The sequence below is a fragment of the Homo sapiens genome, chromosome 16, assembly GCF_000001405.40.
Source record: "Homo sapiens chromosome 16, GRCh38.p14 Primary Assembly".
NCBI classification, from domain to species: domain Eukaryota; kingdom Metazoa; phylum Chordata; class Mammalia; order Primates; family Hominidae; genus Homo; species Homo sapiens.
The window spans coordinates 87489857-87515833 of record NC_000016.10 but is presented as its reverse complement, the minus strand read 5'-3'; the positions used below and the strand labels follow the sequence as shown (position 1 = coordinate 87515833).

The 25977-nt window shown below is 51.1% G+C and overlaps 1 protein-coding gene and 1 long non-coding RNA gene across 4 annotated transcripts in view, besides 1 other annotated feature; one reads left to right on the top strand and one right to left on the bottom strand.

The window, feature by feature from the left end:
- Window positions 1-203: 203 nt before the first annotated feature.
- Window positions 204-21647, bottom strand: ZCCHC14-DT (ZCCHC14 divergent transcript). The gene is made up of 4 exons (NR_110943.1): window positions 21599-21647; window positions 11847-12022; window positions 9448-9652; window positions 204-318 (listed from the first exon to the last, which is right to left on the bottom strand). It is a non-coding gene; the product is annotated as a ZCCHC14 divergent transcript (long non-coding RNA).
- Window positions 22692-22871: a silencer, noted in NCBI's record as "silent region_7838". NCBI's record gives its function as "represses an Ori minimal core promoter by ATAC-STARR-seq in GM12878 lymphoblastoid cells {active_cell/tissue: GM12878}" and the evidence as "EXISTENCE:reporter gene assay evidence [ECO:0000049][PMID:35858748]".
- Window positions 22810-25977, top strand: part of ZCCHC14 (zinc finger CCHC-type containing 14) — an 86777-nt gene continuing 83609 nt past the window's right edge. For all 3 annotated transcript variants that reach the window (XR_243401.4, NM_015144.3, XM_005255858.4), the window contains exon 1: window positions 22810-24165. Coding sequence is in view for 2 of the 3 variants with exons in the window: in NM_015144.3 (NP_055959.2) it covers window positions 23596-24165 (570 nt within the window). In the remaining variant the exon portion in view is untranslated. The remainder of the gene's footprint in view (window positions 24166-25977) is intronic.

Sequence of the window (25977 nt, the reverse complement as noted above, 5' to 3'; positions counted from 1 at the left end):
GCCAGGAAGCTAGAGCTGGTGTAGCCCTGGGGAGAAGAATGGAGTCAGCCCCCAACCCTGGGGTTGCTGGTGCTGGGTGCTGCAGTTGGCGGGCGCTGGGCTCCTCTGGATGCCAGGCTCTGCATGTCCAGAACTGCAATCCTGCATGTCCACGAGGCTGCCCCATTGCACAGATGAGGAAGTTGAGGCTCAGAGAAGTGAAGCGAGGGGTCCCACGGCTGGAATCCAGCCTGAGCGTGGCCTTACAGCTTTCCCACTCTTAAAACTCTCCCAGGTCACAGACTCCTTAAGAATCTGGTGAAAGTTACAGACCCTCTGCTTAAAAAAAAAAAAAAAAAAAAAAAAGTAATCCTGAAGTGCTGAGATTGTAGGTGTGAGCTGCCATGCCTGGCCCCAATGAAAAAACATTTAAAGCTTCATTAATTAAGACCTGCCTGTCACCTTCCACCACGACTGTGAGGCCTCCCTAGCCATGTGGAACTCTCCAGCTCCAAGCAAGGCCTAGTTTAAATGCCACCTTTTCTGTGAAGCCCTATTGGACTTTCTCAGGCTCATTTTCCCTTTGGACTTCTAGAGCATCTTGTAGACAATGGCAATTATCAAGGCCTGGATATATACATTATATAATTGTTATGTAATCATTAATGTGGCACAGAACAACAAATACGGATCTTGCAGACAGAAAAAAAATTGTGGTCATCCTCTTTATGAACTTTCTTGATTGATTTCATAAAACATCTATAATCATTGTTTAATCTGAGCTTTTTTTTTTTATTTTTTGAGACGGAGTTTTGCTCTCGTTGTGCAGGTTGGAGTGCAATGGCATGATCTCAGCTCACTGCAACCTCTGCCTCCCGGGTTCAAGCGATTCTCCTGCCTCAGTCTCCCGAGTAGCTGGCATTACAGGCGCACACTGCCACACCTGGCTAATTTTTGTATTTTTAGTAGAGATGCGGTTTCACCATGTTGGCCAGGCTGGTCCTGAACTCCTGACCTCAAGTGATCTGCCTGCCTTGGCCTCCCAAAGTGCTGGGATTACAGGCATGAGTCACCACGCCCGGCCTGGTCTGGGTTTTTGGATAGCTCATAGACATGAATTCTTCAGGGCAGGAGTCTCCAAAGTGTTTAGATCATAGATCCTAATGGGCAAAACCTTTCCCGCAGGTGCCCACCATATACGTGTATCTTAAAACTTAAGAATTATATATATGCATTGCTGCTCTCATATTTTATGTATAATCATAAAACTCCTAACAAAATGGACTTTTTTTTTGAGATGGAGTCTTGCTGTGTTGCCCAGGCTGGAGTACAGTGGTGTGATCTTGGCTCACTGCAACCTGCACCTCCCAGATTCAAGATTCTCCTGCCTTAGCCCCCTGAGTAGCTGGGATTACAGGTGCACACCACCATACCTGGCCAATTTTTGTATTTTTAGTAGAGACGGGGTTTAACCATGTTGGCCAGGCTGGTCTTGAACTCCTGACCTCAGGTGATCCACCCGCCTCGGCATCCCAAAGTGCTGGGATTACAGGCGTGAGCCACCACGCCCAGCCAAAATGGAAATTTCTAAATGCCAAGTAAAAGATTAAACAAACAATATTCTTTTTAATGTCTTGCTAATTATGATGGTTTCCATTACATCTCAAGGCAAAATATGCATTTGGGGTGAGGATTATTGTCAACAATGATGGATTTTCTAATCTGTACTTCGACTAGACTTCTGGATAATTAGGGTTCGTGTGACTGTCCTCTGCGGGCTGACTGGCTGGCTGCCTTTGTTTTTACCTTGGGATATGTCTGACCAAGAGCACAGGCCAGGAATAAGACAGCTGCTCTGATGCGTTCTCACTCTTTACTCTGCTTGGCTTGTTAGTGTTTCCTTCATTCCACAGTTCCTTTGTATGAATCTTTTTAAGGCATACACCGAATTTAGTTAGAACCAGACAAGATAGGTACCAGCAGCTACAGATCCACTCTGGTAAGCCAATACTTCACCAACGTATGTTGCCATATTTTAAGATGTAACAGACAGGTGTGGTGGCTCACGCCTGTAATCCCAGCACTTTAGGAGGCCAAGGTGGGCAGATTGCTGGAGCCCAGGAGTTCAAGACCAGCCTGGGCCACACAGTGAGGCCCCATCTCTACAAAAAATATAAAAATTAGCCAGGTGTGTTGGCGCATGCCTCTGGTCCCAGCTACTTGGGAGGCTGAGGCAGGAGGATTGTTTGAGCCCAGGATGCAGAGGTCGCAGTGAGCTGAGATCGCACCACCGCACTCCAGCCTGGATTGACAGACCAAGACCCTGTCTCACTTAAAAAAAAAAAAAGAGCTAACAAACTGTCAGATGGGACTTCACCGTGAAACTCCCATTCATCCTGCAAGGTTCCCTTGGGTGACAGCTGAGAAGCCACCACCGCAGTGCCACCAAGCCTGAGGGGTGTCCCTGCCTGTGACCTCAGGTCCCCCTTCTGCCTCTTTAGTCCTCCATTCCTCATTCCACCAATGCCCAATATTAAATTCTCTCTGCTAAACTAACCAGTGCGTTTTCTGTTTTTCTGACTAGACTGTCATGGGTACAGAGAGCCAGTGTCAGCTCAGAGTCAATATTCATAAAACCTGATTTCTTGCTTAATCTTAAGCAATAATCTCATCTCTTCTTCCTGGTCCTCAGTGGATCACCTCACACCCCAGGGGCATGATCACTGCTCTAGAACATAGAACACGTGGGATATTTAATGCTAACTTAATTACCCCCATCATTGGCTTGCTGTGTACCCACTGTGGCAGAGTGAATCACGGCCCCCAAAAAGATGCCCACGTCCTAATCCCCAGATCCTGTGGATGTGACCTCATGTGGTAAAAGGGACTTTGCAGATGTGATTAAGTTATGTATCTTGGCCGGGTGTGGTGGCTCATGCCTTTAATGCCAATGCTTTGGGAGGCTAAGGTGGGAGGATTACTTAAGGCCAGGAATTCAAGATCAACCTGGGCAACACAGTGAGACCTTGTCTCCACAAAAAAAAATAATAATAATAAGGGCAGGGCGCAGTGGCCCATGCCTGTAATCCCAGCACTTTGGGAGGCTGAGGTGGACAGATCACCTGAGGTCAGGAGTTCGAGACCAGCCTGGCCAACATGGGGGAAACCTCGTTTCTGCCAAAAATATAAAAATTAGCCAGGTGTGGTGGCCCGCACCTGCAATACCATCTACTGGGGAGGGTGAGGCAGGAGAATTGCTTGAACACAGGAGGCAGAGGTTGCAGTGAGCTGAGACCATGCCACTGCATTCCAGTCTGGGTGATAAAGCAAGACTCTGTCTCAAAAAAAAAAAAAAAAAATGCCGGGCGCGGTGGCTCACGCCTTTAATCTCAGCATTTTGGGAGGCTGAGGCAGGCGGATCATGAGGTCAGGAGATCGAGACCATCCTGGCTAACATGGTGAAACCCCGTCTCTACTAAAAATACAAAAAAGTTAGCTGGGCGTGGTGGTGGGCGCCTGTAGTCCCAGCTACTTGGGAGGCTGAAGCAGAAGAATGGCATGAACCTGGGAGGTGGAGCTTGCAGTGAGCCCAGACTGTGCCACTGCACTCCAGCCCGGGTGACAGTGAGACTCCGTCTCAAAATAAATAAATAAATAAAAATAAATAAATAAAAATAAATTACTCACTCTTGGGTATTTCTTCACAGCAGCCTGAGAACAGACTAATACAGTAAATTTGTACTGGGAGTAGGGTGCTGCTATAAGGATACTTGAAAGTGCAGAAGCGACTTTGGAACTGGGTAACTGGCAGAGGTTGGAACAGAGGGCTCAGAAGAAGACAGGAAAATGTGGGAAAGTTTAGAACTTCCTGGAGACTTGGAGAGCTCAGAAGACAGGAGGATGTGGGAAAGTTTGGAACTTCCTAAAGACTTGGTGAATGGTTTGACCAAAATGCTGACAGTGATGTGAATAAATGAAGTCCAGGCTGAAGTGGTCTCAGATTGAGGTGAGGAACTTGTTGGGAACTGGAGCAAAGGTGACTCTTGCTATGCTTTAGCAAATAGACTGGCAGCATCTTGCCCCTGTCCTAGAGATCTGTGGAACTTTGAACTTGAGAGAGATGATTTAGGGTATCTGGTGGAAAAAATGTATAAGCAGCAGAGCATTCAAGAGGTGACTTCGATACTCTTAAAAGCATTCAGTTTTATGTAGTCACGAAGGTATGGTTTGGAATTGGAACGTGTGTTTAAAAGGGAAGTAGAGCATAAAAGTTTGGAAAATTTGCAGCCTGACAGTGTGATAGAACAGAAAAACCTATTTTCTGGGTTTTTTTTGTTTCTTTGTTTTCTTGAGACAGAGTCTTGCTCTGTTGCCCAGGCTGGAATGCAGTGGCATGATCTCCGTTCACTGCAACCTCCACCTCCCAGGTTCAAGCAATTCTCCTGCCTCAGCCTCCTGAGTAGCCAGGATTACAGGAACCTGCCACCACGCCTGGCTAATTTTTGTATTTTTAGTAGAGACAGGGTTTCACCAGACTGGTCAGGCTGGTCTCGAACTCCTGACCTCAGGTGATCCACTCCCCTCGGCCTTCCAAAGTGCTGGGATTACAAGCATGAGCCACTGTGCCCGGCCAGAAAAGTCTATTTTCTGAGAAGAAATTCAAGCCAGCAGCAGAAATTTGCATAAGTAACAAGAAGCCAAATGTTAATTGACAAGACAATGGGGAAAGTGTCTCCAGGGCATGTCAGAGACCTTCACAGCAGCCCCTCCCATCACAAGCCTGGAGGCCTAAGAGGAAAAAGTGATTTCGAGGGGCAGGCCCTGGGCCTTGCTGCTCTGTGCAGTCTCGGGGCTTGGTGCCCTGCATCCCAGCTGTGGCTAAAAGGGTCCAACACACAGCTCAGGCCATTGCTTCGGAAGGTGCAAGCCCCAAACCTTGGTGGCTGACACATGGTGTTGGGCCTGCAGGTGTACAGAAGTCAAGAATTGAGGTTTGGGCCAGGCACGGTGGCTCACGCCTGTAATCCCAGAACTTTGGGAGGCCAAGGCGGCTGGATTACCTGAGGTCAGGAGTTCAAGACCAGCCTGGCCAACATGGTGAAACCCCGTCTTTACTAAAAATACAAAAATTAGCCAGGCATGGTGGCACACCCCTGTAATCCCAGCTACTCGGGAGGCTGAGGCAGGAGAATTGCTTGAGCCCGGGAGGCAGAGGTTGCAGTGAGCTGAGATCATGCCACTGCACTCCAGCCTGGCCAACAGAACAAGACTCTGTCTCCAAAAAAAAAAAAAAAAGAATTGAGGTTTGGGAACCTCCACCTAGATTTCAGAGGATGTATGAAAACACCTGGATGTCCAGGCAGAAATTTGCTGCAGGGGTGGAGCTCCCTGCTATGGAGAACCTCTGCTAGGGCAGTGCAGGAGGGAAATGTGGGATTGGAGCCCCCACGCAGAGTCCCCATTGGGGCAGTGCCTAGTGGAGCTGTGAGAAGAGAGCCACCATCCTCCAGGCCCCAGAATGGTAGATCTACCAACAGCTTGCATTGTGCACCTGGAAAAGCCACAGACACTCAACGCCAGCCCACGAAAGCAGCTGGGAGGGGCGTGGGAGCCCACCTCTCGCATCAGCGTGACCTGGATGTGAGACATGGAATCAAAGGAGATCATTTTGGAACTTTTAGGTTTAATGACTGCCCCATTGGATTTCGGACTTGCGTGGGGCCTGTAGCCCGTTTGTTTTGGCCAATTTCTCTCATTTGGAATGGGTGCATTTACCCAATGCCTGTACCCCCATTGTATCTGGGAAGTAACTAACTTGCTTTTGATTTCACAGGCTCAAAGGTGAAAAGGACTTGCCTTGTCTCAGATGAGACTTTGGACTTGGACTTTTGGGCTCATGCTGGAATAGTTAAGACTTTGGGGGACGGTTGGAAGTGCATGATTGTGTTTTGAAGTGTGAGGACATGACATTTGGGAGGGGCCAGGGGTGAAATGATATGGTTTGGCTTTGTGTCCCCACTCAAATCTCATCTTGAATTGTAATCCCATAATGCCCACATGTTGTGGGAGGGACCTGGTGGGAAGTAATTGAATCATGGGGGCAGTTTCCCTCGTGCTGTTCTCATGATACTGAGTAAGTTCAAGACCAGCCTGAGCAACAAAGGGAGACCTCGTCTCTACAAAAAATTAAAAAGTTAGCCAGGCATGGTGGTACACATCTGTGGTCCCACCTACTTGGAGGCTGAGGCAGGAGGATCGCTTGAGCCCCAAGAGGTCAAGGCTGCAGTGAGCTGTGAACACACCACTGCACTCCAGCCTGGGTGACAGAGTGAAACCCTGTCTCAAAAAAAAAAAGAAAGAAAGAAAAAGAAAAAAAGAAAAGAAAAGAGGGAGACAAGAAGTTCAAAGGTAAAAGAAGGGGATGTGACTGTGGAAGCAGAGGGCAGAGTGATGCACTTTGGAGATAGAGAAGGAGCCATGAGCCAAGGACTGTAGGCAGCTTCTAGAAACTGGAAAAGACAAGGAAATGGGTTCCCCTCTGAGCCTCCAGAAAGAACCAGCCCTAGCCAGGTGCGGTGGCTCACACCTGTCATCCCAGCACTTTGGGAGGCCAAGGCGGGCAGATTGCAAGGCCAGGAGATCGAGACCATCCTGGCTAACATGGTGAAACCCTGTCTCTACTAAAAATACAAAAAATTAGCCAGGCGTGGTGGTGGGCGCCTGTAGTCCCAGCTACTTGGGAGGCTGAGGCAGGAGAATCACTTGAACCCGGGAGGAGGAGCTTGCAGTGAGCGGAGATTGCGCCACTGCACTGCAGCCTGGGCGACAGAGTGAGACTCGGTCTCAAGGAAAAAAAAAAAAAAAGAACCAGCCCTGATGACACCTTGGTTTTAAACTCATGGAACTCATTTTGAACTTCTGGCCTCCAGAACTGTCAGAGAATAAATTTGTGTTGTTTTAAGCAACTGAGTGTGTGGTAACTATTGTTACAGCAGCAACAGGAAGTTACACTCCTACCCAGAAGGCAGCATAAATCCCTTAAATTTTTCTTTCCCAGTTCCCTGGACAAAGCAAGGAAGCTCGAAAGACTTTGAAGCCTGTCCTCATAGAAAAATGTCAACCCCTGCTTCAGTGTATGCTAAGATGCCAGCTGACTACTAGGAGATTCAACTCTCTTCACTAGAGTCCAACGCAGGCCACACCCCAAGGGCTGTAATAAATTGGCACTGAAGTTCGTAAAACTCAATGGTTTCGGCCAGGCGCAGTGGCTCACACCTATAATCCCAGCACTTTGGGAGGCCGAGGCGGGTGGATCACTTGAGGTCAGGAGCCTAAGGCCAGCCTGACCAACATGGTGAACCCCCTTCTACACCAAAAATACAAAATTTAGCTGGGTGTGATGGCGTGCGCCTGTAGTCCCAGTTACCCGGGAGGCTGAGGCAGGAGAATCGCTTGAACCCGGGAGGCGGAGGGTTGCAGTGAGCCAAGATTGCACCACTGCACTCCAGCCTGGGCAACAGAGTGAGACTCCATCTCAAAACAAACAAACAACTCAATGGTTTCACTTAGGAGCCTTGACTTCCTCCCTGTTTTACTGGCCCAAGTCCATTGATAATGGTATCAGTGTCCACCGCTCTTGGGTGCCTACAATGCGCTGGATCCTCAATATTCATGGTCCTCGAGCCACACAGCAATGCTGCAAGGCATTACGCATTACACAGTGAGAAAACCAAGGCACAGACGGAGTAAGGCACACCCAAGCCCACACAGATAGGAAGTACAGAAGTCAGGTTTCCAAAGCGCTAGCCTTTTCCAATGCTCTCACTTATTAAGAGCTGCTAACCATTAATAAGCTGACAGGGTGAGGAGCATTCCAGCGCAGTCTGCTCGGGGCCAAGGCAGGGCGGAAGCTAGTGTTCATGCGAGTGATAATCACGGCACAAGATCCAAGTGAACGCTGAGGATTGAGAATGTTGTGGACAACGTGCCTATTCCGCAGGTGTCCTCCGTCAGGGCCAGCCATGGGTTCAACAGCAGGAAACCACGGATAGACAGCCTCTCCAGCCTCCTCCTGGTCACACTTCCTCGGAGATGCTAATGAGTGACAGAGTCAATAACTTCCTTCCCTCCTCCTAGCACTGCTGCTGGTTCTCAGAGAAATAGCCACGTGAACGGGAAGGAAGAAAGTGTGTCCACGGGCTGCGGAATCCGTTGCCGGTGGGGCGGGGATTCATCTGGCAGACCTGGCCTGCAGACAACATTGCTGGAATGAGTCCATGTGATGATCCGGGACTGTGAATGTATCTGCCCAGTTGAAAAATGAGTGATTACTGAGCACCTACGTGATTGAAAATGGGCTGTAATGCAGGAGGATGACCACAAAGAGTGCGGGAGCAGCAGGGTAGCAGCAGCCCGGGATGACAGCAGCCTCGGCCCACCACCCTGTGGAAAGCAGCCGAGGTCTAGGGGAGATCTGGAGTCAGACAGATCCAGGTTGGAAACCCGGCACTATAGCTTACCAGGTGTGACCTCACACAAGTTATATAACCTCTCTGAGCCGTACTAGCCTCATTTACAGATAGAACTCTCATTGTGTTCTGGCACTCACACTCTTTGCACAGCCATGGCCTTCAGAGGAGCCTGGCTCCAGCCCCAGAAGGCATAGTCTAACTGTTCAAGGGTGGCCATGGTGACTGTATTCTCCTGGGTGGTTTAACCATGGCCAAGTGAGACAATCCGGCCAATGAGAGTCTGCAGAGGGGCTTCGGGGAAAGGTATTTTTTTGCCTTTATAGTCTTTCTTCTGCTACTGGCTGCTGGCTGGAATGGCTGCAGCCACTTGAGTGTATGAGGACAGCCAGGCTGAGGCTGAGGCCGACACGCTAGGAGGGCAGAATGTATAGACGGAAAGAGCTTGGGTCCTCAGTGGTGTCCTTGAGTTAATGAGTCAACCAACTCTGGAGAGCCTCAGACCTCAGGACTTCTTGACAATGGCTTAGGCCCTTTGAGTTGTATTTTCTGATGTGTGCAGCCCAACGCACCCTACCTGGGGCAGGGCTGTGTTGAGGATTAAATGTGTAAAAAGCCTAACATGATGCCAGGCACACAGTAGCTTCTGTTGTCGAGGAGATGATGACACAAGAAATGTCACAGTAAAGCAACATGATGCTGGGGCTTCATTTACTCACGTACGCGTCATGCTCGCCAGCTGGGGACATAAATTCCTCAGGGGAGACACTGTGCCTTGATCCTCTTTCCTATGCCCCAGTGTCTGCCTTAATAAGTGCTCTGATACTGACCCCATGGTAAACAATGAAGTTTGCCTTCTGTATCCATTAACCATGGCTACAAACATACCGAATAAGAAATCATTGACAAACAATACTCATTAATTCTCACACACCTGCAGCAGAGGAGGCTGAGGGTCAGCTGATCTAGACTGGGTTCAATTGGGCAGCTCTGGACTTACCTATCTTGGGGTCCACTAAGGCCTGCTGATCTGGGCTGAGTTCGGCTAGGATGGCTCTGATCCCCGTTTCCCATGTTTCTCGTGGGACCAGACGGCTAACTTGGCATGTTTCTCTGTGGGTGATGGCAGAGGCATAAGAGAGCAAGCTCAATCGCAAAGACTCTGGTCAGATCCTGCCCACTGTCCTTCCTCATCTCCTTTGCAGCTATGGGTGGCCATTGGTACAGTGTTGGCAAATGAGATTGAAGCAGAAATCTATTAGAGGGTTTCTCTGGGGGAAAAAGAAGCATTTGCTTTTCCTCATCTGCTGGTTTCATCCCTTACTCCCTTTTTCTTGCACTGAATGCAGGATGCGATGCTTGGAGCTATGGCAGTCATACTGCTACCATGAGGAAAAGCCAAGAGAATTGTGGCTGCTGTTCCAACATAACTGAGCATCATTGCTGGTGCAGCGTTAGCAACTGCCCATCTCTGGACTTCTTGTTCTGTGGGAAAATAACCCTCCATATGTTTATGTCACTGTTAATTGCAACCAAAGGCATTTATCACTAAAACCCAGAAGCAACTAAACAGGATAGTGCAGGATCTATACTAAGTGGACCATTGGAATAAATGAGAAAGTAATATACTGTGATTCAATTCAAGTTCCATCAGCCATTCATTCAACAAATGTATATACTAGCCACCCTGAGCAAGCACACCCAGCCCCGGCCCTCCGAGCGTGTCTAGGTAGCAGGTTACATGGGTGAAGTCTTATCTAATGACAGAAGCTTGGATGGATAGTGAACAGAACACGTTACTGAAAAATGTTCTCACATCTATTGAAGAAAAATTTGGCCAAGCATATAATTGATCCAGAATCTGAAGATATTGTGAATCGATCAGTTATTTTCTGCACCAGCAACCGGTTCCCAAATATAGGTTACTAAGTGGATTTGCCGGTTGACCCCTGGAAGTCCCTCTGACATGTTGAACTTTACCTTCCTTATTTGCTAATTAAAGAGTTAATCTGGATGACTGCTGAATTCTCTTCCAGTTCAAGTCTTTCCCTTCCTGAGATGAATGCCATGTTATAAGAAAATATTAACAATATTTTGGGAAAATTCCACTTTACAAGCATTTGGGTAAAACCATAGTTATACATGACAAACCATAATTCGTAGATGACATAGCCCACTCTTTGGAGAAATTAACGTAGTACCATAATCTTTATAGAAGAAAATGTTTCTGTTTGGGAGAAGCATTGTAAAAATGTATGTAAGAAGCCAGAACAGGCCGGGCATGGTGGCTCACGCCTGTAATCCCAGCACTGTGGGAGGCCGAGGGAGGCGGATCACCTGAGGTCAGGAGTTCAAGACCAACCTGGCCAACATGGTGAAACCCCGTCACTACTAAAAATACAAAAATTAGCTGGGCGTGGTGGTGGGAGCCTCTAGTCCCAGCTACTCAGGAGGCTGAGGCAGGAGAATCACTTGAACCCGGGAGGCAGAGGTTGCAGTGAGCCAAGATTGCACCACTGCACTCCAGCCTGAGTGACAAAGCGAGACCCCGTCTCAAAAAAAATAAATAAATAAAAATAAAATGCCAGGCATGGTAGCTCACACCTGTAATCCCAGCACTTTGGGAGGCTGAGGCAGGTGGATCACTTGAGGTCAGGAGTTCGAGACCAGCCTGGCCTACATGGCGAAACCCCATCTCTACTAAAAATACAAGTATTAGCTGGGTGTGGTGGTGGGCGCCTGTAATCCCAGCTACTAGGGAGGCTGAGGCAGGAGAATCACTTGAACCCAGAAGGCAGAGGTTGCAGTGAGCCAAGATCACACCACTGTACTCCAGTCTAGGCGACAAAGTGACACTCCATCTCAAAAAAAAAAAAAAAAAAAAAAAGGCAGAAAGACCACCAGCAAACATTTAATAAGCACCAACTGCATACATGGTACCCATCCGGAGCTGGAAATCCAAAGTGAGAAACTTAATCAGCCTCAGCCCTGACTCCTGCTCTCAAGGAGCTGAGAATTTAATTAAGCCTCTGGTCTATGTGTATTGTCATGGCCAGCTTCCACAGGAATACACAGGTGGGCTTTACTGTGTCTTACACCAGTGGTCGTTCCAATGGTTCTGTGCCAGCCTCCTAGTGAGGAGCCATCCCTGGGTAAGACAAAAGAAGCAGGCATGCCAAGACTCAAATATGTGCAAGATATCATATGTACGACAGGTGGACCAGCAGGTTAAAAAAGTGTTAACCCTCAAACCACTCTCAAACAAAGTCTTAAGCTGAAGCCAGCTTTCAGATATGTATTATTATATAGTAATACATGTTAATATATATTAATATGCAATTTGTACGTATTAGTATCAGTAGGAACACAGGACCTACATATGCACACACACGTACTTACTAGAGCTGCTGTGGCTCAAATGCAAGGGCAAAATCCTCTGCTTCCTCAGGAACCTCCCAACGTGATTAGGATCACACAGCAGAGAAGACACAGGCTTCATCATCAAGCAGAACTGGACCTGTCCTTCTCGCTGTCTACGCTGGGCAAGCGGCTGCTCTAAACCTCAGTTTCTTCATCTGTAAAAGGGGAAGAATGTTCTACTTGCAAGATTGTTGTGAGGGCCAAGTGAAATGAGGACATGAAACCCCAGCCACCAGCAGGTCTCAACAGGCGTCAGCATCCGGGACACCAGCCACAGCTGTGCGGCTTCAGGAACCTGGTCCACTTGACCCTCCTCGCCAGAGTCATCATCCAGACCCAGCCTTGACCCACAGCTGCTCTGGAGGGGACGGGGCAGTGGGATTTGGGATCGGGAGAGCTTGGTTCAAGTCCTAGCCCTGCTGGTATCTGCTGGCCTCCCCCAGGGCCTGATTTCCCCCTCGGCCAGGTGAGGAAAATGACCTATTGATTTTAAAGCATGTCACCAGGGCTAAATGAGGCATGAAAGTGCTTTGTCCCCTGGCACTTCTGCGCTCCCTGTTTTCGGTGCCAAAACCCTTAGCCTGGCCAGGCTTGGTGAGAGGCACCGTGAGGCTGCTAGCCTGAGCCCTAGCTCTGTCCTGGCCGGCGGGCCATCCTTCGCAAGTGACCACTCTGCCCCAGTTGTTTCATCTGCAAATGATAACAGCCAGCACCAGCTTCGCTCATGATGGAAGCCCCGGTGTTAAGCCCCTGCCTCCGCCTCCACTCGGCCGGCTCCAGGCAAGGCAGCCACTGTGGCAGTGACTGTCAGAATTGCTTTCTTACAAGGTGCTGCTTGCACCAAACTCAGGTGGGGGTGTCTGTGTTGTAAACACAAGCACACACACATACACAGCACATGCCACACACATGCACACACCACACATACCACAGGCATACATATACACACACATAGCACATAGAACACACACATTCCACACACACCACATGCCACACACCACACATACACCACACCCTACACACATACACAGCACGTGCCACACGCATGACACACAACACCCATACCACAAACATAAACACACATCACACACATACACGGCACATGCCACACACATACCACACATATACACACCACACATAACACACATACTACACACACACATACATACATCACACACATACAAAGCACATGCCACACACATACCGCACATACACATATACACACCACATAGCACACACATTTCACACATACCACACATAAACACATACACCACACATACACAACACATGCCACACACATATACACACCACATAGCACACACACAACACACACACATTTCACACACACCACATGCCACATACACCCCACACACATACCACACACACATATACATACCACACAGCACACACAACACTCACACATTTCACACATACCACATGCCACACATACACCACACACAACACACATACCTCACACACACATAAACACAATCACATACACAGCACATGCCACACATACACATATACACACCACATAGCACACACAACAGACACACATTTCACACATACCACATGCCACATACACACCACACACATACCACACATACACATATACACACCACACGACACTCACACATTTCACACATACCACATGCCACACACACAACACACACACCACACATGCCATTTACATAAACACAACATATAAAATACACACCTACACACATCATGCACACACACATCTACACACATACGTACATGTCACATACCACCTACACATATACACACATACACACCACACAGATATCACACACGTATACACACCACATAGCACATGCATACACACACCATGCACAAATCACACACCACACAGATATCAAACACATATACACACATTGCACATGTATACACAGACCACACACAAATACATACATATCACATACCTACACACACCTACACATATATACACATACACATCACATAACACACATATCACACATGCCACATACACGCCAACGTACCACACACATACACACACATGCAGACCACATACCACACATGTGCCCCTACAGACATATGCACGCACACACACACACACACACACACACACACACACACACACAGGTAAGGGGTGTTCATTTGGCATCAGGAGCTTGCTCACAGCTCCAGTGCGATGGGACACTTTCCACCCGGGCACTAGCTGTGTTTATGTTGTTTACGTGATGTAGCCTTTCACAGGATCCCCACCTACCTCAAAACACCAGGGTGGCCGGGCGTGGTGGCTCACGCCTGTATTCCTAGCCCTTAGGGAGGCCAAGGCAGGCAAATCACGAGGTCAGGAGATCGAGAGCATCCTGGCTAATACGGTGAAACCCTGTCTCTACTAAAAATACAAAAAATTAGCTGGGCATGGTGGTGGGAGCCTCTAGTCCCAGCTACTCAGGAGGCTGAGGCAGTAGAATAGTGTGAACCTGGGAGGTGGAATTTGCAGTGAGCTGAGATCACGCCACTGCACTCCAGCCTGGGTGAAAGAGCGAGACTCTGTCTCAAAACAAAACGAAGAACAACACCAGGGTGAAGACCTTCTCAAAGCAATGCCAGCCACTGTTTCCTGAGCACCTGCTAAGCATTTGCTAAACATCATCTCAACTAATTCTCCCAGCCATGTTGTAAAGTAGATATTTTTATATCCATTTCACAGAGGAAGTGGTGGGGGGACTGAGGAGGTGAATTGCAAGCTTGGGGAGGGGAATTTGGACATAGACACGCAGGGGAGACAGTCACGTGAAGACAGAGGCAGAGACTGGAGTGATGAGTCCACCAGGGGAGGCCCCCCACAGATGGCTAGCAGCCCTTGGAGGCTGGGAGAGAGGCCCTCAGGGCCTCAGAAGGAACCAACTCTGCCAACACCTTGATTTCTGGCCTCCGCCTCCAGAACTCTAAGAGGATTAATTTCTGTTGTTTTAAGTCATCCAGTTCATGATCATTTGTTTACAGCCACCCTAGGAAACTGTGCTTAAAAAAAAGAAAAAGAAAAACAGGGCCCGACACCGCGGCTCACACGTGTTCCCAGCACTTTGCAAGGCTGAGGCAGGAGGATTGTTTGAGCCCAGGAGTTCAACACCAGCCTGGCCAACAAAGCAAGACCCTGTCTCTACAAAAAATTTTAAAAATTAGCTGAGTGTGGTGGCACACACCTGTGGTCCCAGCTACTAGGGAGGATGAGGTGGGAGGATCTCTTGAGCCCAGGAATTCGAGGCTGCACTGAGCTATGATCGCACTACTGCATGCCATCCTGGGCCACAGAGCAAGACCCTGCTGTCTCTTTTTTTTTTTTTTTTTTTTTTTTTTTTAAGATGGAGTCTTGCTCTGTCGCCCAGGCTGGAGTGCAGTGGCGCAATCTTGGCTCACTGCAAGCTCCGCCTCCCGGGTTCATGCCATTCTCCTGCCTCAGCCCCTCGAGTAGCTGGGACTACAGGCGCCTGCCACCACGCCCTTCTAATTTTTTGTATTTTTAGTAGAGATGGGGTTTCACTGTGTTAGCCAGGATGGTCTCGATCTCCTGACCTAGTGATCTGCCCGCCTCTGCCTCCCAAAGTGCTGGGATTACAGGCGTGAGCCACCGCGCCCGGCAACCCTGTCTCTTAAACAAACAAACAACAAGTAGTTTTAATCTCTGACTGGCCACAAGCCTTACCACCCCCTATTTTATCATACCATCCAGTGTCACTCATTTATTTTTTGCATGGCCCTCAAACTCATTTATTTATTTATTTAGTTTTTGTTGTTTTTGTTTTGTTTTGCTTTTTTGAGACGAAGTCTTGCTCTGTCACCCAGGCTGGAGATGAAGTCTTGCTCTGTCACCCAGGCTGGAGTGCAGTGGCGTGATCTCAGCTCACTGCAACCTCCGCTTCCCAGGTTCAAGCGATTCTCCTGCCCCAAACTCCCAAGTAGCTGGAATTACAGGTGCCCACCACCACACCAAACTAGTTTTTGTATTTTTAGTAGGGACGGGGGTTTCACAATGCTGGCCAGGTTGGTCTTGAACTCCCAGCCTCAAGTGATCTGCCCAGCTCGGCCTCCCAAAGTGCTGGGATTCATGCACTGCCACACCCGCGCAATAAAAGCTCTTAAAAATGGAGAGAAACATAGACCAAAAACCTGATAGAAAACGGGCAAAAACAGGCATCTTATTGAACAAGATACAAAAAATGGCATCCCCACCTAGTTCTCTCTCCCTTCCAGAGACTTTGAGATGTCGTTATAATTTAATAAATCTGTTTCTGCTCAAGCTAGACATCATAGATTCTGTTGTTTCTAATTTATTTGGTGGGCACAGGCTATTTATAGAAATCAATCCACCTTGAATCGTGAAGGCTTTCCAGCCTGCAGTACGTCCCAAAGTTACTGACACCAGATCCTGAAACAGTTTTAAAAGAGGAATTCACAGATGTATTTTCAAGCAATTACAGTTTTATCCCAGTGTGAGTACTGCCTTCTAGAGTGACGACTTTGAAGGAGACAGAGTTTTGGGTTTGGGTGAGCCCTGGTATGTTTGTTCAAAAACAGAGCTTTTAGAGTTACACCTCATCACCCAAACAATATGTTATATGCCTTTGGAATGTTTTTTTTAACCACACTTGAGTCTGGGAGTGTCTCATGTCTTGAGACTTCATTTCAAACAAAACAGTGATGGTAACGTGAAGATGATTCAGATGGCATTGGGAAGCTCTCCAGTTCTTCCACTTTCTTGATACTTCTCTGAACTCTACACAGGATCTAGAGGCGACAGATCGGGTGTCAACCTCTTGAAAAGTCCAGGGTAAGCAGGACTGCCTTTGGAAACTCTCTCAGCATAGAAACAACCTGAATGCCCAACTAGAGGGGATTCTTTGAATAAATCATGCTAAATCAAACAAAGATTTGTGTTGCCCTTAAGAGCCATGATTTAGAATAGAGTCATGGATATGAAAAGACATTTGGGATGTATTGTTAAGTGAAAAAAATAGATTGCAAAATGTGGAGTACCATCCTATTTTTGTGTCGTATACTTTTTTTTTGTAAAAGTATGTGTGCATAAATATATTTGAATACAAAAGTGTCTAGAAGAGTATCTTTTAGAGTTGGTTATGACTGGGAAGTGAGATGATTTGTAGCTTTTTATATTGTTTTTTAGCGAGTTATAATATGTTCATAAGGAACATGTATTGCATCATAATCAGACAAAACAACACAGTCATTTACATGTTTTTAAAAATCCTGTATTTGCTTGAAAATACTCCAGAAAGAACATGTGTGTATGTCGGGGGTGGGGTGAGAGAAATGGATGGAGTAAGAGTGGCAAAATGTCATCTTTGCTGAAGCTGGCCAAAGGGGACTATGAAAAATCACCATATGATTCTCTTGACTTTTGAGTATGTTTGCACATTTCACAAGTGAAGGTGAAAACAAACAAACAAATAAAACCAAGGTCAGCAGTGAGTTCATCCTTGGCTTTTAGAGGATATCACAATTGCAGTGCAAGAAGCACAGAAATACGAGAAACAAATATACAACAGAAATAAGGCCGCAAAACTTAACGCTAAGAACCCAGGAGCCATCAGCTGTGCGACCTCAGGTCAATAACAGCCTTATGAAGCCTCAGGTCCCTCATCTGTAAAACGGGAGGAAACCCTTGTTGCGTGGCAGGCTTGTGGTTGAGACTGAAAATTCTAATTACTACTGTGGCTGCCGTTGTTCAATCCATAGGCCCTGGAAGTCTGGAAGCAAGAGCTCCACACCCCAACAGTGGTTTCAAACTTTGGTGTGCACTGAGATGAGCAGGGTTACTAGCAAACATGCAAATTCCTGGCCAGGCACGGTGGCTCATACCTGTCATCCCAGCACTTAGGGAGGCGGAGGCCAGTGTATGGCTTGAGGTCAGGAGTTGGAGACCAGCCTGGCTAACATGATGAAACCCCATCTCTACTAAAAATATAGAAAATTAGCCAGGCATGGTGGTGCGTGCCTGTAATACCAGCTACTCGGGAGGCCGAGGCAGGAGAATCGCTTGAACCAGGAGGTAGAGGTTTCAGAGAGCTGAGATCGCGCCACTGCATTCCAGCCTGGGTGACAGAGGGAGACCCTGTCTCAAAAAAAAAAAAATGCGGATTCCAAGGTCCTACCCCTAGGGACCCTGACTCCATACGTGGGGCCAGGCCTAGGACCCTCCACTTTAAATAAGACCCCGGGCCATTCCCACTGGGGAAATGCTGCATCTAGCCCCACACCAAAGACACCCGGGTAAGCAAGTCTGCCATGGACAAAAACGCCTCGCCGTGCAGAAACCGGGTCTGGACGTTGTTCGGGGCTGATTGCCCATTTATGACTCTAGGTGGACTTTGTCTGCAGTCATGGCTGGAAAAGCTGGCAAGCAACAGACACCTTTGCAAAAATAGCAAATAAACAATATGTCACATTTGTGGTTTCCTCCTGGGAGGGGCAGAGTCTATGGGCAATTGACTTAGGGCAGAATCCAATTCCAACATGAACTAACTGTGTGGCCCGGGCTGAAGCCCTTGACCATTCAGTATCTGCGTGATGGGAATTCAGTATCAGAAACAGCTCCATGGGGTTTTGTCAATTACACGAGGCTGTCAGGCACCGAGGCCTGGAGCCAGGACCCCATCAGGAAATTTAGGGATCCACTGGATTTATGGCCTCCATGCTCAGGGTGTCAGGTCCCAAACCTTCTCAATGACAGGAAAGCAGGAGTCAGGCCAAGGGAAGGAAGCGCACGTTGCAGCTAGAGACCACACACACCTTGGCAGCACCCCAGGGAGAGACAATTCCCTGCCGCGCCGGGCTTCTCTGCGCACTTCCAGCCCCAATCACTTAAGGAGCCCCTGTCCCACTCTGAGTCTTCTTCTGAGGCCTCTGTTGGTGTTGTCCTGCTCCTGGCTTGGCCTCCAGATCCCTCCTCTCGTGGGGTCCTAGGTCTGAAGGAAAAGCAAGATGGTGGCAGTCTGGGGGAAGAGCATGTGCTTGGGGTCCCTGTGGCCCATTTCTGGGCTTGGCCTGGTCACCTGCTGCAGTCGGTATCACTCATTCAGAACTAAGCAGTAACGCCAGGCGGGTCATGTCCTTCTTGTAAAATTGTTTGTTTGGGGAATTTGTGGTGAACTCCAAATCTCTCTCTCTCTCTCACAATTGATACTATTAGAGTCATTTGTGCTTGATTGCAGCTCTGTGGAAGGGACAGCCCCCACTTCTCCCCTCGCCTCTTTGTGGTTATTTGTAGGGCAGTCACAGGAAACCAATAAAATGGCATTTCCCCCTAAACATGAGTGTGGCTCTCAGCGCAACCCAGTTTACAATAAATAGTCTATCCTTGCCCTATAGGACCAGGCCTCAGGAAGGGCTTGGGGGCCTCAGAGGCAAATGACACCCAGCCCTTCAACCCTGCACAACCACAGACCTCACACCCAGTGGTAGCCAATTTGGCTGAACAGCACCCTAGACTGTGGGCTCCCCCTGGTGCTGGGCCCCCTCACAAGGAGGCAGGGCCCACCCTCCTGATCTAGCCTGAGCCCCTGAGTCCTCTCCCAACCTCCTCCCAGCGATCTCAGCCGCTCCAGCAAGGCGTGGGGCTGCTGTCCTTCAGCTGCCTCCCTCTCCAGAGGAGGAGAGGCGGCAGATGTCGAGGCAGAGGTGGAGAAAAGCTCCTGGCACGCTTGCAGCTGGGGTTACCTTGTGCACGGGCAGAGTCAGGGAAGCGGGAGACAGTAGGTGCCCTGTGTGGAAAACCAGAATCTCGGGGCCAGGACCCAGAGAATGCTGGAGGGCCCGGGAGGTCAGCGTCTGCCCTCTCCTTATGAGGGAGGCCCCCTCCTTCAGGCAGCCTGCCTGCTTCAGAGTGGGGAGTCCAGGTTGTCAGTTCTGTAGGGTCGATGGACCTGGTCTCATTTGCCTCTGAGGCCCCCAAGCCCTTCCTGAGGCCTGGTCCTGTAGGGCAGGGATTTCATATTTGTTGTGAACTGGATTGAGCTGAGCCACACCGATGTCTGGGGGGATATGACATTGTTTCGGTTTCCCTGGCTGCCCTACAAGTAACCACAACACGCGTGAGTGAGGGAGGGGTGGGGAGATGGGGGTAGGGGAGGGGTGGGGGGGGGGTGGGAGATGGGGATGGGGGAGGGGTGGGAGATGGGGGTGGGAGAGGGTCGGGGGGTGGGGGAGGGTGGGGGTTGGGGGTTGAAAACAATAGCAACTTACCCTCTCACAGTTCTGGAGGCCAGGAGTCCAAAGTCAAGGTGTGGGCATGGCTCTGTTCCCTCTGGAGGCTCTAGGGGAGGGTCCTCCCTGTCTCTTGCAGCCTCTGGTAGGCCCAGGCACTCCTTGGCTCCAATCTCTGCCATTCTTGCACATAGTCTCCTTTCCCCCGAAGTCTCTATGTGTTCTTTTCTGTATCTTGTAAGGACAGTCTCATTGCATGTAGGGCTCACCTTAATTCAGTGTGATTTTATCTTGACTCTTACCTTAATTATATCTGCAAAGACTCTTTTCCCAAATAAGGTCACATTCTGAGATTTGGGGTAGAGATAAACTTTGGGGGGACATGATTCAACCTACTAAGCCATTAAATCACAAAGAGCACGCAAGAAGGACCAAAAAGGCAGCGGGAAGTGGGGAGGACCTTGATCCAAGGACTTCCACAGCTCAGGCCTCCCTTGTTCCAGCCAGCAAGGGCTTTCCATGAGCACCTTTGACTTCCACTGCTAGCCAGGATGACGGGTTCCTGGCTGTCTTCTACAGATGAGGAAACTGAGGCTCAGAGGCCTCTGAATGCATAGCCAAGTTCACACAGTCAGCCACAGCTGGGACTGGAGCTCACTTGGTACCAAAGCCTGGGGGTTTCACAGCCAGCTCGGCTGGATTGAAGAAGCCCCACCCCCACCCCCAGCACTAATGAGGTTCCAAGATCTTTCTCCAAGGAGCTTGCTTTATCAATAAGAAATGAATCTTTTGTTTTGTTTTGTTTTTGAGACAGAGTCTTACGCTGTCACCCAGGCTGGAGTGCAGTGGCGGGATCCCCATTCACCGCAACCTCCCTTTCCCGGGCTCGGGCAATCCTTCCACTGCAGTCTCCCAAGTACCTGGGACTACAGGCACATGCCACCACATCTGGCTAATTTTTGTAGTTTTTGTAGAGATGGGATTTCGCCATGTTGCCCAGGCTGGTCTCGAACTCCTGGGCTCAAGGGATCTACCCTCGGCCTCCCAAAGTACTGGGATTACAGATGTGAGCCTCTGAGCCCAGCCAAACTGTCTTGATGTTCACGTTCTTTCACTACCTTAGATTATGAATTTTGGAATGTGGCCAGTTCCCTGGAATCACATTAAGAAGTGAGGTCCAGGACAACGACGATTAATTTAATTATTAATAGAAATCAGCCTAGACCTGGGAAATAAGATGAGGAGACCCAACTGTCCCCAGCCTTGCCCTTGTGCCCATGTGGGAGGCCATCCTGACTCCATTTAGATTTTTGCTTCTTCCTACACTGACAAAGAACACTGGGGCAGCTCCAGGGAAATGTGCCCAAGGTGTGGAGGGGGCTGGGGGAGTGGAGAGCAATTTTTTTTGTTCCCAACCATGCCTTTCTGCAATCTCTGTTCATCCTCGAAGACCTAAGACTGGAGAATGTGGGGTTTGTTTGTTTTGGAGCGACTGGGGCGGGGAGGGGGGGTCTCACCATGTTGCCCAGGTTGGTCTTAAACTCTTGGCCTCAAGCGATCCTCCTGCCTCGGTCTACCCAGTAGCTGGAACCACAGGCGTGCCAGATTCGGCTGAAGAGTTTTGTTAGGAAGTTTTCAGCACCTTGGACCATATCCTGAAAAAGTTCATTCATTGATTTAACCAATCTCTAGTGTGCACTGCCCAGAACCAGAGTGTAAGCTCCACAGGGTAGGGAGGGCGCCAGCTTTGCTCTCAGCTGCCCCCGGGCGCTTGGGACCTGGAACCCATGAATGAACAGACCCCGTTCTAGATCAACAGACATTCAAAGCAGCGCTCTAGGGGAAGGGCAGGGGAGGAATGAGCGTCCAGCCCCCGCGGCTCTACTTCTATGCCTGTGTGTAAGTGGTGGGATTTAAAGGTGGTTGGGTGCACCGGCCCTTCCCCCACCTGCAATCCGGTGCCAATGCAAGTGCCAGGGGAGGGTGGCGTTTCTGTTTACTTCCAGCCAGGTCAGCTCCCTTGCCCCCTCCCCTGTGTTTGCATTTTCTGCGTTTGGCGAGCTGGTGAAGTAGCCGCGGAAAGAAGGCGGATTTAAAGGCTCCATTTGGACGAGGCTTTTGGAGAAAGCTTGCACCTCCCATCACACCCCCAGGGCAAGTCAGCCGCCTCAAAAGTGCCGGTGCCGGCCCTCTGTGAGCTCAACACCTTCGCACAAACCTCGGGGGCGGTTATTATTACCCTCTTTTTCCCGGGGAGGCGCCTGGGGCTCAGAGAGGCCAAGTGACTCGCCCAAGGTCACACAGCTTTGCAGTGGCCGACCCGGGATTGGAACCCGGGGCTCCGGACCCCGCGGCGGCCGTTTCTCGAAGATACCCACTACCTCCCTCTTACACCGCTCAAAAATAAAGCAGGAAGGCCGAACGCCCCGTTTTCGCCGAAAAACAATGCTCCACGCAAATTTGCGGGAACAAAAGCAACCAGAAATCCAGCCCGGGTTTTCCGCCTCTCCGATTCCGCGGACCAATCGCGTCTTGACGGCCGCCGAGGGACGGGAGGCGGTGGCCCCAACATGATCGACAGCCCCCAGGGAGGCGTGGCCGCGGAACGGGCGAATGGGATTGGGGACCCGGCACAATCACGGGCCGAGAACGGGCCGCCTGAGCCAATCAGTGGGGGGGGGACGGGCCCGGCAGGCCCGGGCTGTCGCGAGAGGCGGCCACCCCGCCCACTTCTGCTGATCCCGGCCGCCCGTCAGCCGCGAGCGCGACGATCCCTCCGCTCCTCGGCCGGCGCCTCCTCCGCCGTCGCCGTCGCCGTCGCCGTCGCCGTCGCCGCCGCCGCCGCGCTCGGGCCCGGATCCGTCCGCCGCGCGGGAGCAGCAAGGCCGGCAAGTCCCGGCCGGATCCCTCCGCGCCTCCCGCCGCGCGTCCCTCCCCCTCCAGCGTCCGTTTCGCGGCCGCGGCCCCCAGCGCTCCCCAGGCGGCGACGCCGCGCCCGCGGCCCGGGGTAACGGCCGGCCTGGGCGGAGGCGCGGGCGGCGGCGACGGCATGGCCGGGGCGGCTCCGTCGGGGGGCGGCCCGCAGTGACAGACCCTGCGGCGCGGGGGGAGATGGGGGCGGCCGCCTCCCGGGCGACGACGACGACGACGACGAGGAGCAGCCGCCGCCGCCGCCGCGCACCGGCCGCCGCTGGGCACGGGCGCGGGGAAGGCGCCTCCCCGTGAGCGGGGGGCCCGAGGCCGCTCGCCGCCCCCGGCCGCCCCGGCCGCCCCGGGCCCCCCCGGCGCCCCGCGCGCGCCCGCCCGCCGGCCCCTGACGGGAGCCTTGCCCGGCCCCGGTCCCCGCCCCCGCCCCGGCGCCCGCCCGGCCCGCGGCGCCCGCGCGCCCTCGCCCGGACCCGGCCCCGGCCCGCGCGTCCCCGGTCCCGGCGCGCCCCGGCCGCGGCCCCCGGCGCCCCCCGGCCGCCCCCGCGCGGTCCCCGGCCCCGGGTCGCGGCGCGGCGCGGGCGGCAGCATGGTGGAGAAGCGCTGCCCGCTGCAGAGGGACGGCGTGTACCGCTGGTTCTCGGAGCTGCCGTCGCCGCAGCGCGTGGAGTTCCTGTGCGGCCTGCTGGACCTGTGCATCCCGCTCGAGCTTCGCTTCCTCGGCTCGTGCCTGGAGGACCTGGCCCGCAAGGACTACCACTCGCTGCGCGACTCGGAGATCAAGGCCAACAACCCGGCCGACCTGGGCAGCCTCACCAACCTGACGGACGAGGTGGTGCGCAGCAAGCTGCTGGTGTCGCTGGCGCTGCTGGGCTCGGAGCAGCGCGAGGCGGCGGGCGTGCTCTACCGCACGCTCACGCACATCGACTCCATCATCCACAACTACGGGCTGCAGCTTAACGAGGGCCGCACGGGCGATGAGTTCCTGCTGCTGTTCACCATGGCCTCCAACCACCCGGCCTTCAGCTTCCACCAGAAGCAGGTGCTGCGCCAGGAGCTCACGCAGATCCAGAGCAGCCTGAACGGCGGCGGGGGCCACGGCGGCAAGGGCGCGCCCGGGCCGGGCGGCGCGCTGCCCACTTGCCCAGCCTGCCACAAGGTGCGTGCCCGCCCCGAGCTCTGCCCTGTACCCCAAGTCTGCATCCCCAACTCTGCACTCCAAGCCTCCAGCCTGCACCGCGACCCCCCGACCCACGCCTCCAGCCTGCACTGAGAGCTCCCACCCAGGTCTCCAACCTGCACCACGAGCCCCCAGCCCGTATCCCAAGCCCCATCCTAAGCCTCTATGTCGCACCCCAAATGTGTGCCCCACCTCTCCAAGCCTCCACCGTACATCCCAAGCCTCCGCCGTACATCCCAAGCCTCCGCCGTACATCCCAAGCCCCCATCCTAAGCCCGCACTCCTCACCCTAAGTCTGCACTTTAAGCCCCAAGACCGCACCGCGGCCCTGAGCCCACACCCTCAGTCCCCTCTGCGTGCCCCAAAGCCTCCACACCTCCGCCTCGCGCCCCTTGGGCAGGAGCGGCTGCAGGGGCCCTGGGTCCGAGGATCCGCGGGAGCGGTGCGGGAGACGTCCGCGGTCAGAGCTCACAGTCCCAGGTGCCCTCCTTTCACTTAGCCGGCTGCAAACGCGATAAGGCCTTTGTCCCCTTAATGGGGCCCTTGGGTGACAGATAACACACATTGCGGCGCCTTGGTTTCCCCAAATCTGGTATTTATTACCAGAAAAGGAAGGAGCCGTGGCCACGCCAGAAGCCGCCGGTGAGGTGAACATTGCAAGGCGCTGGGGCTTCCCCGTCTGAGCCGCTCCCTCCACACAGGTGGAGGCCCTGCTTGGGGCCTGTGTCGCTGGGGGCCTGGGCGCGGGACATGGCTGTCCGTGTGAGCTCATTTATGGACACGTGCATGCTGTATGATGTACGCGTGTGTCGCATGTGGGCATGTATATGTGCACACGTGTGTATGAATGTGCACATGCTTGTGAACGTTGTGTGTGATCGTTTTTAAGAGCCGGGCTACCTGTAACAGACAGAAAAAGACTCCCAGAGCCTTAAATGCCCGTGAAACCTATTTATTGGCGACCCTTAGAAACAAAACCCAGGCTGACTTTGAGTGGGAGGGCACCGATGCCTTAAGGAATGTTAGGTTAGGTTAAAGATCTCCGGTCTCCAAATTGAACCGGAAGGGCGTCCTGGCCATCCACTTAGCGATGTGAACTTTTGTCTAAGTGTTTCAGAACTGAAAACGCAAAGTGTCTGGGGCTCCAGCTATTTTGAACAGCCCCCTGCAATCCAGTGCCAAAATTTTGCTGCCGGAAGAGATTACTTTGACCTGGTGTGATGTGTATTTAGATTACAAACTGATTATTTTTTGGAAGGGAATAGGTTGCAGTCGGGACCAAGTCTTGCTCAGTGTCTCTTTGCAGTGTCTTTAAGCTCTTTGAAGTTAAAACTTTGATAAGACTTTGCTTTTATGAGTGGCTGAGAACACCGTCTGGTTTGCTAGGTTTTTTATGTGTGTGTTTTTAAAGCTGTCTTTCAATCGTAGATTGTGGCTTTTCTTTTTTAATGTCTTCCTGTAAGAAGTGGTTGTAGTACATACATCGGTTTTTTTAAATTGATTTTTGTGTGTGTGACATTTACCTCCAAGACTATAGTTTTCTTTTTAAGTTCGGCTCCCACCCTGTATTTCAGGCTGTGTGCTGTGCAGAGGGTCCTAGGAAATGTAGTTGTTTATAGTAATCCATGTAAGCCTTGACATGCCAGCAAATTGTCACCTATTCATGGAATCTCAGTCATTTATGGTCAGTTTCATGTGCTGTTACTCCTTTGTGTAGATTCCACCCACTAATAATTTCTATGGCTGTTGCTACAGTAACGTCATCTCTTTAAGGGGATTCTTAATGTGTGA